Source organism: Homo sapiens, chromosome Y (assembly GCF_000001405.40).
Source record: "Homo sapiens chromosome Y, GRCh38.p14 Primary Assembly".
Classification (NCBI taxonomy): domain Eukaryota; kingdom Metazoa; phylum Chordata; class Mammalia; order Primates; family Hominidae; genus Homo; species Homo sapiens.
In genome coordinates, this window is record NC_000024.10 from 3,544,917 (window position 1) to 3,561,285 (window position 16,369).

At 35.2% G+C, this 16,369-nt stretch overlaps 1 pseudogene; it reads left to right on the plus strand.

The window, feature by feature from the left end:
* PRRC2CP1 (proline rich coiled-coil 2C pseudogene 1) lies at positions 4,893 to 5,673 on the plus strand (annotated as a pseudogene).

Sequence of the window (16,369 nt, forward strand, 5' to 3'; positions counted from 1 at the left end):
TTGCATCAATATTCGTCAGGGATATTTGTCTGTAGTTTTATTTTGTGGACGTGTCTTTGGTTTTTGTATTAGGGTAATACTAGCCTCATAAAAGGAGGTTGGAAGTATTTTCTCCCCCTCTAACTTTCAAAATTACTTGAATATGATTGGTATTACATCTTCATTAAATGTTTGGTGGAATTCTGCAGTGAAGCTATCATGTCCTGGGTTTTTCTTTACTGGGATAATTTTTATTATGGCTCTGATGTCATTACTTCTTATTGGAAAATTCAGGTTTTGGATGTCTTCATGGTTAATTATTGGTAGATTGTATGTGTCTAGGAATTTTTCCACATGTGGGGAGTACTGCCAGACTACCTCCGATGTTCCCTTATGGCCCAAAGGCTCTTCAATCAGCTTGTGGTAAATGCTGCCTCACTTGGACTCCCCCTTTAGGGCAGTAGGTTCTCCTCTCACAAAGAGCTGGTCTAGTAATGTCTTCCAAGAGCCCAGTCCTAGAACTGAGGACTCCAATAGCCCACTTGATCCTCTACCCTTCTGTGTTTAAGCTGATATCTAAAGTGCAAGACAATGTGCCCTTTACTTTTCCTTCCATTTTTCTCAAGTGGAAGGAGTCTCTCACCTTGTATCCACCTCAGCTGGGAATATGCTAAGTCTCACCTGAAGCCTCCAAATCTGAGTCTCACCCAAGGTCTTTGATGTAGTACCTGGATATTACTGCTGGTTATTCAGGGTCCAAGGGCTCTTCAGTTAGCAAGTGACAAATGCTGGTAAAACTGCATCTTTTTCTTCATGTCAGAGGGTTCCCTTCAGACCCAGGGTGTCTAGAAATGTTATCTGGGATTGAGGTCCTGGAAAGGGAGCCTAACAACTGTGATTGGTACCCTATCCTGCTGTGGCTGAGCTGGTATTCAAGATGCAGATAAAGTCCTCCCCCCTCTTTCCTCTCCTGTCTTCAAGTAGAAGGAAGCAGTCTCTTTTGGAGCCATGAGATGTGTAGCCTGGGGTCAGAAGAGGGGCGATTCCAGCACTCTCTTAACCACCCTACCTGGCATCTCAATAGGTCATGTGTCCCTGCCCCCAGTCCACCAGCTCTGGGCCTAGTTTAGTACAGGGACTTGCCTAGGAGTTGCAGCCTTTGTGACAGAGGCTACCTTTCAAATTTATTTCAGCTCTCAGTAGTGAGGCTTGCTGGAAGTCAAGTTTGGACTACTGGGATTGGCAATTCCCCTCTGGCTAGGGCAGGCTTAAATGCTCCCTCCGTGGGCAGGTGTCAGCTAAGTTTGGTCCAGTTTTGCTTCTGCTATAACAGGGCAGCACTGAGTCAATCCCTTCCCCCACGACAACAACAACAACAAAAATGCTCTTCACACCACACTAGCACTGCCAGTGGGTGGAAAGAGGGGTGGCATTGGTGATTCAAGACTGTTTTTCCTACCTTTTCACTGTCCCTTTCAGCAATAAGTAGTTGAAACCAGGTACTTTGAGTACTCAGCTGATTTTTGTTTCTTACAAAGGGGCTTTTTGTGTGTAGATAGTTGTTAAATTGGTGTCGTTGGGTGGGGGCCAATCAGTGGCACCTTCTATGCTGCTGCCGTCTTGCTCCCATTCTGAGTTTGCTCCGAGAATATTTAATTTCAGCTCCAAAGTAGATTGCACAACAACTAATCAAGAGAAAAAAATCTGCATTCTAAATGAATCAAACACCTTTCATTAAAATAAAAGGACTGCCAAGAACAGATTAAAATGTTGGGCCTTAGCCCAGGATAGAATTTCTATCTAGGTCAAGGAACTCACTCTTACCGTTTCTAAGTGGGAAGAATGTGAATCCTTTAAGAAATAAAACACTTCGTAGTAAACAAACATTCTATAGATTTGAAGATACATGAAAATAACAACTCCATTTTTGTACTTTTATTTACAAAATTAATTTAGAAGCATAATTCCTAATTCAAATAACTACTTCCTAATGTCTTCCTATATTCCATCACAATAAATACCTCCAATTCCCAGGGCACAGCAAACAGCAAAAACGATAACAGTAACAAAACTAGTTATATATTAGTTGCTGTCTGTTCAAGGTTGATCAAGAAGTAGATTCTAAATTTTCCACAAAGAGGTCTCTAAAGCATAAAAATCTTTTGTTTTAAGCAAGAATGTCCAGTTTCACAGGTTCTGTAGATATTTTAATTATTTATTTATTTATTTTTTGAGACAGGGTCTCACTCTGTTGCCCAGGCTGGAGTGCAGTGACACGATCTCAGCTCACTGCAACCTCCACCTCACAGGTTCGAGCGATTCTCCTGCCTCAGCCTCCCAAGTAGCTGGGATTACAGGTACCTGTCAGCACGCCGAGCTAATTTTTGTATTTTTAGTAGACGTGGGGTTTCATCTTGTTGGCCAGGCTGGTGTTGAACCCCTGACCTCAGGTGATCTGCCCACCTTAGCCTCCCAAAGTGCTGGTATTACAGGCGTGAGCCACTGCGCCCAGCCTGGATATTTTAATTATGTTCCTTAGAAAGAAGTGCATTCATCATTATGGCTGAATTACTGCTATAATCTTTATATTCTTTTGAAACTCTTCTTTATATTATTATATTACCTATAAAACTGCTTTTTTGTTTTTGATGCTTAGCCTATTTTTGCCTTAATTCAGCAATAATAGTTATTATGTGTATTAATTGTATAATAAATTGAAGTATACCCTACACTTTTTAGACAATATATCATAGGTGACATTGAACTTAGTTTATGTACATTTATTTAAAATGACATCTACTAACGTATGGATTTTGAGAAAATGTTGAAAAAAGTCTATAATGTCTGCTTCCTCATCTGTAAAATAAATGATTTGTAATAGATTGTCTCCAGGTGTCTTACAAAACTAAAATTTTGTGTTCTATAATAGACAGAAGTAAAACAAGCAGTTTCAAAGAATGTAAGAATTATACCAATACTTCAGGGAAAAAAATGTCATATCTTTTGAACAATTCACTAGGTAAGTTACACACTTTGTGATGATAAATACCCAACTTTCTAAGGAACATACTCAGAAAACTTCAAGTGCTATGTTTTCGAGAGAATATTATATAATTGGTGCTAGAACTGAAATAAAATAAATAGCAGTCTCAGGCAGTTTTATACGTATTACTATGTTTATTAATAAGCAGCAACCATGTCCCTTCATTTTCTTCTTATCACTGAACACAAAATGTAAGGAGAAAATCTTTGTCAAAGTTTTTGAAAAATTTTATTAACATGAAGAGGTCCTTCCCTGTTTCTGTGCTGAACAGTACATTTCAATCAGCAACAAAAGTAAGTGGTATCTGTAATTCTGACCATGAGTTTTGTAATACTGTGTGATGACAGCTGAAATATGAGATATGGACCATCAAGTTTGCTTAACACTGATCACAGCTGCCTTTTCAAATTCAAGAGAACCCAGCATTCTTTTGTTGTCATGAATTAATATATCAATATTAAATAAAATTAAATTTTTGTGAGAATTTCTTATCTTTTACTCTGTAGGAAATAAACAGCTGTTTTTTTTTCTATTTGAATTAACATTTTGTATTGTCTTTGTTTTCCCTTGTTATATTATATCCACTTTTAAAAATGAAAATGAGATTCTCCAGGAACTTTGACTTTAGTGGAATGAAAAATTCATCTTGTAGCTGGTTGGTAAAAAAAAAGTAAATATTAGAGGAATTAAGAATATATATGGGTTCTTTCCAATGCATGGTGCAATCCTGTCCACAGGTCTTCATTAGCAAATGGTGGTGGTATTTATCTGAATGGATAGCCAAACAGTTTATTTCCATAAAAATATCAGGGTTTTAAACTGGTATAAAAAAAAGGAAGAAAAAGAAAAAAACCCCAAAACCACAGGTTTCTAGCAATGATGACTGAGTGGGGGCAAGGAAGACTCAACCTAAGTAGTATTTTAACAAATCTGTCATGTTTGAATGGTGAGAGCTCCATGGAAGAAAGGAGATGCCAAGTAGTGCTTCAAAGCTTCGGACCACAACCAAAACACAGCATCATTTCAAACAGAAGCAGCAGCCAAACACTGTTCACTTTGATACGGTTCAACGATGCTGACATCAATATTTAATCATCTGCTCACTCATCCAGGAAGAAGGGGAGATCAGTTACTACTGTACTGTGATTGTGTTCAACTCAATCATCATGTTATAAAAACAGCAAGCTGCCATAATGAAAAATAAAGTTCCTCTATCCAGTACCAGTAATCTTCAGTTCTTCACCTCCAAGCCTACAAACACCATAACCATATCCAAAGAACATAGGGGAGCAAAAAAAACCACACCTGATGTATTAGCTGGGACCACGATATTGTTCAGGCTGAGTTATTCCTCTGCAGTCTTATTTTCCTTATATTTTTGGTGTTTCATCTAATCATAAGGATTTTTAGGTCTAAATTATATGTACTCAAAAAAAATGTGTGCATATATTTATATATAAATTCTGACTGAAGATGCATAGCCATCAGCCCAGCGCATGTTAACATAGTAGGTGCAAGCTTGCAAAGCCTCATTTTTACTGGTATAGCAGCTGTGTGTCAGTGTAAATTCCTCCTATGTCCCTTGTACATCTCCAAGCTCTGAACAGGAAAATGTTACAGACCATTTTGCCCCTTTGGCTTCTGGCATTATATGACTTAATCCTCCATGTTTTCCCTCTCCATCTCCCAATCACCTGCAATAAACCATAGCCTTTAAGATTTTGTTTCTTCAGTTTTGATCATCTGAGGTTTGATTGGTCCAGTTCTAACAGGTTTGGTGGCTATGGATGGTGCAGTGGGTGGCTTTTCTTCTACTTTTCCGTGACAGACACCAGGAGGGTTGGCCAGTGTTTCAGGAGTTTTACTTGAATCACACCAGTTTTTAGCTGATGTTCATGAAGAACAGTGACTACCTAGAACTGTGCCCCTAATTAAAGGAAATCCTAAGAAGGTGCATTTCTTTACAGAGCTGTGTCATGCCGTCCTTTGGGCCCCCTTCTGGAAAAGTAGAATCAACTCTCGAATAATGCCTTTTTAATTGTATCCTCTAGTATTATAGATATAGGACAGTACTGTATCATACCTCTGTGAATGTAAAATATCTTGTACTTGCTTGATGATACTTAGTAGTGACCATACTTTATAAGAGCTGTTTTTAATTAGGTTATTCTAGAATGTTTTCTTTCCACATGATGATTCAGAAGCTAATTTTAAAAAATGGTGCCAGGTACCACAACAGTAACAGAACTTTGTAGTTTTCTGGGGTTTTGTTTTTTACCTCCCCCCGCCATTTTTTTAAATGGAGTGTGCTGGATGTCTCTATAATTTTGTTCAGATGACCGCAGAACCTGGAAAAACTGTTGCTGCTATTGATCCGTAACATACTGCTGTTATTGATCTATATATATATATGCACACATATATATAATTTCAATTTTTGGAAACTTTAGATGTGCTGTCAACTTTGGAAAAAGTACCCCAGTTTACTGTGTTGAGTTGGCATTGTACAGAAATTAACGGCCATATTGGTCTACAAACATTAAACTTATTTTTTTCGATTTGTACAGGGGTAACACACTGTATTAAATATGTAAGGTCTTATGTACATGGGTTTGATTATAGAAACTAATAAAGTATTCTCTAAATAATGAAAAAAAATCAGGGTTTTAGCCACATAATCAGCAACATTGGTATATGCATGAAACTGTGCTAAATAGCATAAAAGAATGCAAAAGCCCTGCCCTAGTATGAGAAACAAGAAATGAACACACACACACACACACACACACACACACACGTAAACACATACACAATATAAACATTGATAGTTGACAAGCAGAACTTAATGGAGAATGACAAAGTGAGAATCGTGCCCCATAGGCATTTATTTTAAAAGCTGATTTGCCTGGAGTAAGGCAAATTTTGAAAGTGTCAACTTTTTATCAAGCAATTTTAACCTGTACATGTAATTCCTTTATGTAAACTATTTAAATCTCATGCAATCTTATGAAGCAGGTATTATTTTCTCCCAATTTTATAGGTTAAGAAACTGAGGTTTGTGGGGATTAAGTCATTTAATCAAGATAAAATAGCTAGCAAATGATAAACTTAGTTTTTTAAATCTAGGCCTATATGCCCACTGATCTAGAATTCTTAATAAATAGAGATGCTACACTTTCTAAATTCCCCTGTATATTTCATTAGAAAAAAGATCTTATTTGTTTTCTTTATTCTATTTTTTGTGTCCAGCAAAATTCCAGGTATATATATTAGATATACAAGAAATATTTGTAGAGTGAATGAATGATCAGTAAAAGCATAAAATATGGAGGCTTTTAAGAAAAAAGACAGAAAAGAATAAGCCCAAAATGTATATAGCATATGGTTCACTGACCACTATAAATAAGATATAGACATAAAATTCACTAAATATAGAAAAATAAAATAGAAGAAGTAGAATTCCCCAAGTTAGCCCTGGTAGCAGGAGATTTGGCAAAGAACCTCTATCAAGTGGATGAAGGAAGCAGAGATTTTAAAAAAGGAAAAAAAAAATGGAGAAAGATGACATTGGCATTAGCTCATTTGAAAGTAATGTTTTCTTTAGAATATCTTTAAATTTTCAGAAAAGTTGCAAATACAGTTCAGAGTATTCCCATGTATTCAACACCCAGTTTCCCCCCTTATATTAATAAATTGCCTTTGTAAGGCACATTTTTCAAAACTGACAAATCAATATTGATACATTACTGTTAATTAAAGCCCATACTTTTTTCAATTTTCTTAATTTTAACTAATGTGTTTTTTCTATTACAAGACTTCATGCAGGATATCACATTATACTAGTTATCATGTCCCCTTAGGCTCCTCCTGTCTATGACAGATCTTAGAATTTCTTTGTTTTTGATGACATTGGCAGGTTTGTAAAGTACTAATCAAGTAATTTGTAGAATGTCACTTAATTGGAATATGTCTAATTATTTGTCACATGAGTAGACTGGTTACGTTTTTTTTTTTTCCAGAAGATTGTGGAGGTAAAGTGTCTTTTGTGTCACATTATATCAAGGGTACATGCTATGAACACACTTTCTCACTGGCAATGTTAACCTTGATCACTAGGCAAAGTTAGTGTTTGTCAGGGTTCTTCAACTATAAAAGTCAGTATTTTTACCCCTTCACGTACTATACAGCTCAAAAGAATGTCCTCATGTTCAGCCAACACTTATGAAGTGGAGCTCCTTGTGGGGGTAGTATCTAATTTAAATTATTTGGAATTCTTCTGAATGGGACATTTGTTCATTGTCCCTCATTTAGTTACTTATTCATTTATTTATGTCAATGTGGACTCATACATATTTGTTTTTTCCTTATGTTATACTACAATGTAATTTATTCATTTTGTTTTTCAAATTCTTCCACCTTTGGTTATTGAGATCTCTTTCTTTGTTTTGTTTTGTTTTGTTTTGTGTTTGTTTTGAGTCAGGGTCTTGCTCTATTGCCCAGGCTGAAGTGCAGTTGTGTGATCATTGTTCACTGCAGTCTCAAACTCTGGGGTCTAAATTATCCTCCTGCCTCAGGTCCCACATAACTGGGACTATAGGCATGTGCCACCACACACAGTCAGGTGTTTTATATTTTGCACAAGTTCAGTCTTGCTCTGTTGCCCAGACTGTTATGGAAATCCTGGCCTAAACTAATCCTCCTTCCTCAGTCTCCAAAAGTGCTGGAATTACATGGGTGAGCCACTATTCACCGCTGGGAGCTCTTTAAGTAAACTCCTATGCTAATTTGGCATACCCAATCATTGTGCATGTGTGTGTTTCCTATCATTTAATTGTTGAGTATTTCCTTTACTTTCTGTCATTACACAATGCTCCAAGTTTATCTTCTATAGTTTTTAAAATGTCCTAAAATCCATTATTTCCCAGGTAAATCTGCTCCTGTTTATTGGATAAAGGTACTAAAAACCAGACCAAGTTTATTGGATCTGGTTTCTGGGTGTTCTTATTGTTATTGATGTATCCTTTTTTCAAGGTCTTCTCAGCTAGCAGAGCAATAGGGGTATGCGTGTATGCTAGCCCATGTGTGTACAAATATTTATCAATCTAAGGTTACTCATTTATCATCTCTATCTATATGAAGTAATTATTAGTTCATACTTTTGTTTCTAAGTAATCAATTACAACAATGATAAATCTAGTTATTTTTATTTGCTTGTTCTCCAGAAGTAAGAAACAAGGCTATCAACATCTGACATTCATTTACTTGTTTATTCTAGCACGCATTTATACTAGTTTCAGAATTGTTAGTCCATACCTTATCAATCAAAATACACCTGACATGCCCTACAAGAAATGCTAGAAAGAGTTCTTCAAGCCAAAATGAAAGCATACTAGATGTTAATGTGAAGCCAGATGAAAATATAACTATATTTAGTGACGTTAAATACATCAACAGTATGAAAACCAGGATTATTGTAATATAAATTTTTCTTCAGAATTTAAAAAAACAAAATGCATAAAAATGTATAAGTCTATCTTAATGAATGCACAATATATAAAGATGTACTTTGTGATATTAATAATACATAGCAGTAGGGCAGAGAGATAAAGTAGAGTCTATATATGCAAATAAAGTTTAATTGATATCAATTTAAAATAGATTGTTGTGACTTTAAGGTATGATATTCAATCCCTATAATAACCACAAGGAAAATATCTATGAAATATACACAAAAAGAAATAAGAAGAGAATTAAAACATGCTATAACAAAAACTCAACTAAACAAGAGAAAGAAGAAGTAATGGAGGGAATGATGAATGCAAAAATTAATAAGCATGCAGAAAATGATAACGAGATTGCAATATAAGCCCCTACCTATAAGGATTTTTAAAAAATATAAATGGACTAAATCCCTCAATTGAAAGGCATAGATAAGTGGGTGAATTGTTTTAAAATAATCCAATTACATTCTGTGTACAAGAGACTCATTATAGTGGAAAATAAAAAGATGGGAAATATATTCCATGCATATTAATAACCAAAGAAGTGTAGTAGTGGCTATACTAATATTAGAATAAAATAGTCTTTATGTAAAAAAACTGTTACGAGACAAAAAAAGAACATTATATGTTGATAGGAGGTTTAACTAACCAAGAATATATAACAATTATAAACAAATATGCACCAAACATCAAAGCTCCGAAGTATGTAAAGCAAACATTCACAGAACTGAACAAATATATAGAAAATTCTACAATAATAGCTGGAGACATAAACAGGAGTATTTCATTTGATAACAGAAAGAGCACACAAAAAATTGGTAGAGACTAGGAAAGTTCATAGTACTACAGACCAAGTTGACATAATAGACATACAGAATGCTCCTCACATTGAGAACTGAATATACATTTTCTTCAAGTGATTATGGAACAATCTTCAGGAAATTTCATATTTTACACCCCGAAACAAGTTTCAATAAATTTTTAAAGACTAAAATTCAACAAATATCATATCTGAACTCAGTGGAATACAACCAGAAATCAAGAACGAAAGGAACAATGGAAAATTCACAAATATGTGAAAACTGAAAAAAAACACTCTTGACCAACCAATAGATCTAGGAAGTAACTATTAAAAATATTTAAAAAATCATGGGAGAAATGAAAATTAAATACAACAAGCCAAAAGGTATGAGATGCAGCAAAAAAAGTAATAAGAAGACAATTTAGAACTATAAGCAATTATATTAAAAGGGAAGAAAAATCTCAAATCAAAAGTCTAATTTTATACCTTAAGAAACTAGGAAAAGAAAAGTTTAAACACAAATCTAGCAGAAGGATGAAAATAACAAAAATAAGACAGGAGACAAACAATACAGATAATTTAAAAATTGAGAAAATTGATAACATCATGAGATGATTCTTGTAAAAAGATAAACAAATTGAGAAGGCTTTAGCTTCATTGACTTAAGCAAAAAAAGATAATACTCAAATACCTAATTCAGGCATAATAGAGAAGACATGACTATTGACTTTATAGAAATAAACAGGATTGCCAGATGTTACTATGTTATAAAAACCTATAGCTATTAAGAAGATTGAAACAGTAATTAAAAACTTTACAACAAAGAAAATCCCCAAACATTTGACTTCACTGGTAAATTCTATAACACATTTGAAGAACTAACACCAGTTCTTCTTAATCTCTTTTAAAAATTTAAGAGTATAGAATATTTTCAAACTCATACTGTGAGGTCAGCATGGCCCTGATAACAAAGACAAAGGCATTATCAAAACACTGTAAACCATTATCTCTGATGGATGTTGATAAAAAAAATCCTCAAAAATTACTCACAATGTAAAAGTGATGGCATATTAAATGGATTATAAACCATGAACAGGTAGTATTAACTGCTAAAATCTAAGGATGCTCTACCATACTAAAATCAATTAATGTAACATGCCACATTAACAGAATAAAGGGGAAAATAATATCAATCATCTTACTTGTTGCAGAACAAAATTTATTTCAACATCACTTGATTCAAAAAGTTAAAGCTAGGAAACAAAGAAAACTATTTCAACATAATAAAATTCATATATAAAAAACACAGTTAACATAATCAATGGTGAAAGACTAAAAGCTTTTCTTCTAAAATCAGGAAAAAGACAAGGATGTCTCCTTTCATAATTTTTATTTTATTTTATTTTATTCAATTTTATTTTTATAGTATGGGAAGTCCTAGTTAAAAGAGTTAAGCAAAAATAAATAAATAAGTAAAGTAGAAGTCTTCCAAATTGGAAAGGAAGCAGTAAAATTGTGTCTGTTTGCAAATGGCATTATCTTAAATGCAGAAAACTTGAAAGATTCCACGAAAAATACCCCTAATAGAACAAATAAATGAATTCAGCAAATTGTAGGACACAAAATGAATATGCAAATATTACTTGTGTTTGTATACATTAACAATGAACAATTCAAAAAGAAATTCATTTACAAGTTCAAAAAATAAAACATTTAGAAATCAACTTAACCAAAGAGGTGAACAATTGTACATTAAAAACTACTGGCTAGGCATGTTGGCTCATGCCTGTACTCTCAGCACTTTGGGAGGCTGAGACAGGAGGATTGCTTGATGACAGGAGGTTGAGACCAGCCTGGGCAATAGTAAGACTCCATCTCTACAAAACAGACAAACAAAAAACTACAAAATTTTGCTGAAAGAAATTAAACAAGACACCAATACATGGAAAGACATACCTTATTTATAGGTTGAAAAACATATTTTCAAAATGAAAATACTATACAAAATTATCTACAAATTAAATACAAACCCTGTCAAAGTCCTAATGATGTTATTTTAGAAGTAGAAAAATCCACTCTACAATTTACATGAAATCTCAAAGGACTGCCTAGCCACAATATTGAAGAAGAAAAAGAAAATAGTTGGAGATCCCAGACTTCCTAATTTCTCCAGATATTTAGGAATTTGAAGGATTCTTATCTTGGTCCTGTGGTTAAAAAAAATAAAAAAGCATTTTCAGGAGAGGAACCAAAGATATGGCCAAAGGACCATTTGTTAAGGATATTAGTGGGGATATAACAAAACTGCACATTATTCATTAGGACAACAGAATAATGAATTTAAAGGCACTTTGGAAATTACTCCTGCCATCCCTCCCACCACAGGCTCAGAAAGCCAAGACCTGGAAAATAAAATTATGTCAAGAGAGGCCTAGGGTGCCCTAAAGATTTTCTGGCTTGCTGCTTAGGGCCACCTCAAGTCTCTGCTTCCCGCATTCTAACAGGGCACTGCTGGTTTGCCAAGGGAGCCAAGGTGGCACTTGGACCACTGCTCCCCAGGGAATGGATACTTAGCTTTGGTATTGTCCATGTGATCCTAGCTCTGCAGTGTCACAGACTGCTCAAGCTATAGAGCCATGGTGGTCTCCACCTAGGTATTAATGAATGTATCAGATAACCTGTGGACCCAAACAGATACCTGCTGCAGGGGTAGTGTCACCAGAGAGTTACCATTAGGGCTATGCCTACAGGAGCTATAGAGTAGGATTACTTCCAAGGCCCCAGAACTGAAAGCAACCAGTGTGCAATGCTGGTCGGGAAGAGCTGTAGGCATGAAACATCAACCTGTAAGAACTGCTGCATGGGCTGAGCTCAGCATAGCTATAAGGGTGAGGGTGCCCAAGATGATGGGGGCTGAACCCTCACCCAAGTGTGCCCAGAAGGCAGGATATGGGGTCAAGAAAGATTATTCTGGAGCCTTAATATTTGATGTTATTTGCACTGTTGGGTTTAAAACTTATTTGTGACCAGTTACCACCTTTTTTTCTTGTTTATTTCTCCCTTTTAGGATGGAAATGTCTATCATATGCCTGTCCCACCATTGCATTTTAGAAGTAGATAACTTGTTTGATTTCACAGGCTTACAAATGAAGGGAAATTTGGCTCAGGATAAACCATGTCTTCAGTCTCACCAATATCTGATTTAGATTCTACTCAAGACTGAACTTTGATCTACTGCTGGAAAGATTTAAGACATTTCTACTGAATAGAATAAATGCATTTTTTTATATGAGAAGGACATGAGTTTTGGAAATCAGGTGTAGAATGCTATGGTTTGAATGGCTGTCCTCTCCAAATCTCATGTTGAAATTCTAATTGCTATTGTAAGAGCATTAAGATATGGAAACCTTAAAAGATGATTAAGCCATGATGATTTCACCCTCATGGGTGAGATTGTTGCTGATATAAGAAGGAGAGTTCAGCCCCCTCTTGTCCTCTTTCTCACCCTCTCACATTCCTTCATGTGATGACACAGCAAGAAGTCCCTCATAAGATCTTGGCACCTTGATATTAGACTTTCGAGCCTTCAGAAATGTGAGCCAATAAATTTCTCTTCATTACAAATTACCCAGTCTCAGATATTCCGTTATCACAGCTCAAAACTGACTGAGACACCAGGATTTATGAGCTCAAGAAACAAGAGGTAGAAATGGGAGTGCCACCACTTCCACTAAAATCTCTATTTCCTCTCTAGAAAAATTTGCGCCTATGTTTCCTGTGACTTTATGCTTTTCTGTCCTAGAGTTTTTAGTTCCAGAGGGAGAAATGCTTCCAGCAGAAGACACAGTGCTTCTATCGAACTGCACATTGACACTATCACCCAGCTCCAAGGGGCTCCTCATATGCTTCTGAAGTAACAGGCAAGCAAGGAAGGTTTGATGTTGACTGGCATAATCAATCTTGACTGACAACAGAAAAGTGGACTATTATTCCACAGTGGAGGTACTGGAGAGTATGTTTGGAATATAGATTTCTTAAATTGTCTCTTGTTATTACCATGACCTGTAATTAAAGTCAGAAAACTGTAACAACCCAGTCCAGGCAGGACTCTGAATCGCCCAAAGATTTCAGGAATGAAGCCTTAGGTAACTCCATCAGAACAATAATCAGCTGAGGTGCTTAGTGAAGGCAAAGTGAATACAGAATGGGTAAAAAAAGAAGGTAATTAGAAATATTAGCTGTGAACATGTAACCAGTTAGAAGAACTATAAACGCCATGGGTATTTACTCCTTATTTTGTTATGAATATATTTGTTTGTGTATATACATATATTAAGCAAATATCATTGTTTTCTTTCCTTTCTTATTCCCTTATGTAACATATGATATATTGACTTTTTATCAGTAATTATTAATTTTGAATCATAGTATTAAGTTATAGGTTATCAGGAAAAGACTAAACATAACTGAAGTGTTTTATATGTTCTTTTGGAGAAAGAATTAGTGTGTTTTCAGTTGTACACAGGATAGCTGTATCATGACAGGTAAAATTTTGACCTTGTTATTGGTTTTATTTGGAGATTAAGTATGCTTTAAGAAGATGCAAGTAGGGGCCATTTTGACAAGGGATGGATTTATGATGGTTAATTTTATGTGTCAACTTGACTGGGCTAAGGCACGTCTAGATAGCTGGTAAAACACTATTTCTGTAAGCGTGTTCCCAGAAGAGATCAGCACTCGTATTGGTGAATCAATTAAAGTAGATGGCCTGGTTCAATGTATGTGGGCATCATCCAAGCAGATGAGGGCCTGAATAGAACAAAACAACAGACGAAATATAAATTCACTCTGCTTGAGCTGAGGCATTCAACTTCTGCCCTCGGACATCAGTTCTCCTGCGTCTCAGGATTTCAGACTCAGACTAGGGTTTATACCATCCATGGGCCGCCTAATTCTCAAGCCTTTAAACCTGGACCGAATAATACCACTGACTTTCCTGGTTCTCCAGTTTGCAGATGGCAGATCATGGGAGTTCTAGCCCCCGCCTAACCATATGGGCCAATTGCTGTAATAAATCTCCTCTTATTTATCTGCATCCATATCTATATCTATATCTTACTGATTCTTTCTGAAGAACCCTGATATAGTTGTATAACTGTAAATTTACCAAAAATCACTAAATTTTACACACTTTAAATGGGCGAATTATATGGTATGTAATTGTAACTTGATAATGTTATTTTTTTAAAGTACCAATAGCCTAATACACATAAAAAAGCTATTTACAGATATAAAAAAGGGAAAACCTCATTTATACTAGTAGCAGCAACAACAAAACATACAAATTAACATAAAAATGTTTAAAGCATTTAAAAAGAAAATCTCAAAACCTTTCTAAAGACACAAAAATAATCAGAAACAGGAGGCAAGAGCAAAATGGTCAGCTAGATGCAGCCAAGTGAAACAGCTCCCACTAGGACTAAGATGACTAACGTGCTTCTAACAGATATTCAGAGAAGGCACTGAGATTGGATGAAGGGAATACACAGAAGTTGGGATGAAGAGGGAGAAACCTGGGACTTTAAACCAAAAAAGAGTAAAAAAGACAAAAAAGGCATTGCATAATGGTAAGGGTTCAATTCAACAAGAAGTTTGAACTATCCTAAATATATATGCACGCAATGCAGATGCAGCCAGATTCATAAAACAAATTCTTAGAGACCTTCAAAGAGAGACTGTTACACAATAATAGTGGGAGACTTTAACACCCCACTGACAATACTAGAACATCAAGACAGAAAATTAACAAAGATGTTCAAAACTTGGACTCAGCACTGGATCAAATAGACCTGATAGACATCTACAGAACTATCCACTGAAAAACATTAGAATACACATTCTTCTCATCACCACATAACACATACTCTAAAATCAATCACATAATCAGGATTAAAACACTCCTCAGCAAATGCAAAATAACTGAAATCATAACAAACTTTTGGACCACAGCACAATCAAATTAGAAATCAAGATTAAGAAATTTACTCAAAACCAAACAATTACATGGAAATTGAATGACCTGCTCCTGAAGGACTTTTGGGTGAATAATGAAATAAAGGTTGAAATCAAGTTCTTTGAAACTAATGAAAACAAAGATACAACATACCAGAATCTCTGGGACACAGCTAAGGCAGTGTTAAGAGGAAAATTTATAGCACTAAATGCCCTTACCAAAAAGTTAGAAAAATCTCAATTTACCAACCTAACATCACAACTAAAAGAACTAAAGAACCAAGAGCAAACCATTCTTAAAGCTAGCAGAAGACAAGAAATAACCAAAATCAGAGCTGAACTGATGGAGATTGAGACATGAAAAACCATTTTAAAAAATGAATCCAAGAGGTGATATATATATATATATATATATATATATATATATATATATATATACACACACATACAGTAGACTACTAGCTGGACTAATAAAGAACAAAATATAGATGATTCAAAGAAACAGAAACAACAGGGGGGATATTACCACTGACAACAAAGAAAGGCAAATAAACATCCGAGAACGTTATGAATACCTTTATGCACATAAGCTAGAAAATCTAGAAGAAATGGGTAATTTCCTAGACATACAACCTCCCAAGACAGAACCAGCAAAACATTGAATCCCTGAACAGACCAAAAATGATCTCTGAAATTGAGTCAGTAATAAGTAGGCTATCTGCCAAAAAAGCCTAGGACCAGTTAGATTCATAGCTGAATTATATCAGATGTACAAACAAGAGTTGGTACCATTCCTAGTGAAAATACTCCAAAAAAATTGAAGGGGAGAGACTCCTACCTAACTCATTCTTTGAGGCTATGAGGTCAAGATCACCCTGATATCAAAACCTGGCAGAGAGACAATAAAAAAAGAAAACTTTAGGTTAATATTCCTGAGAAACATTGACACAAAAACACACAACGAAATACTGGCAAACTGAATCCATAAGTGCATCATAAAGTTTAGCAACCACAATAAAGCAGGATTTATCT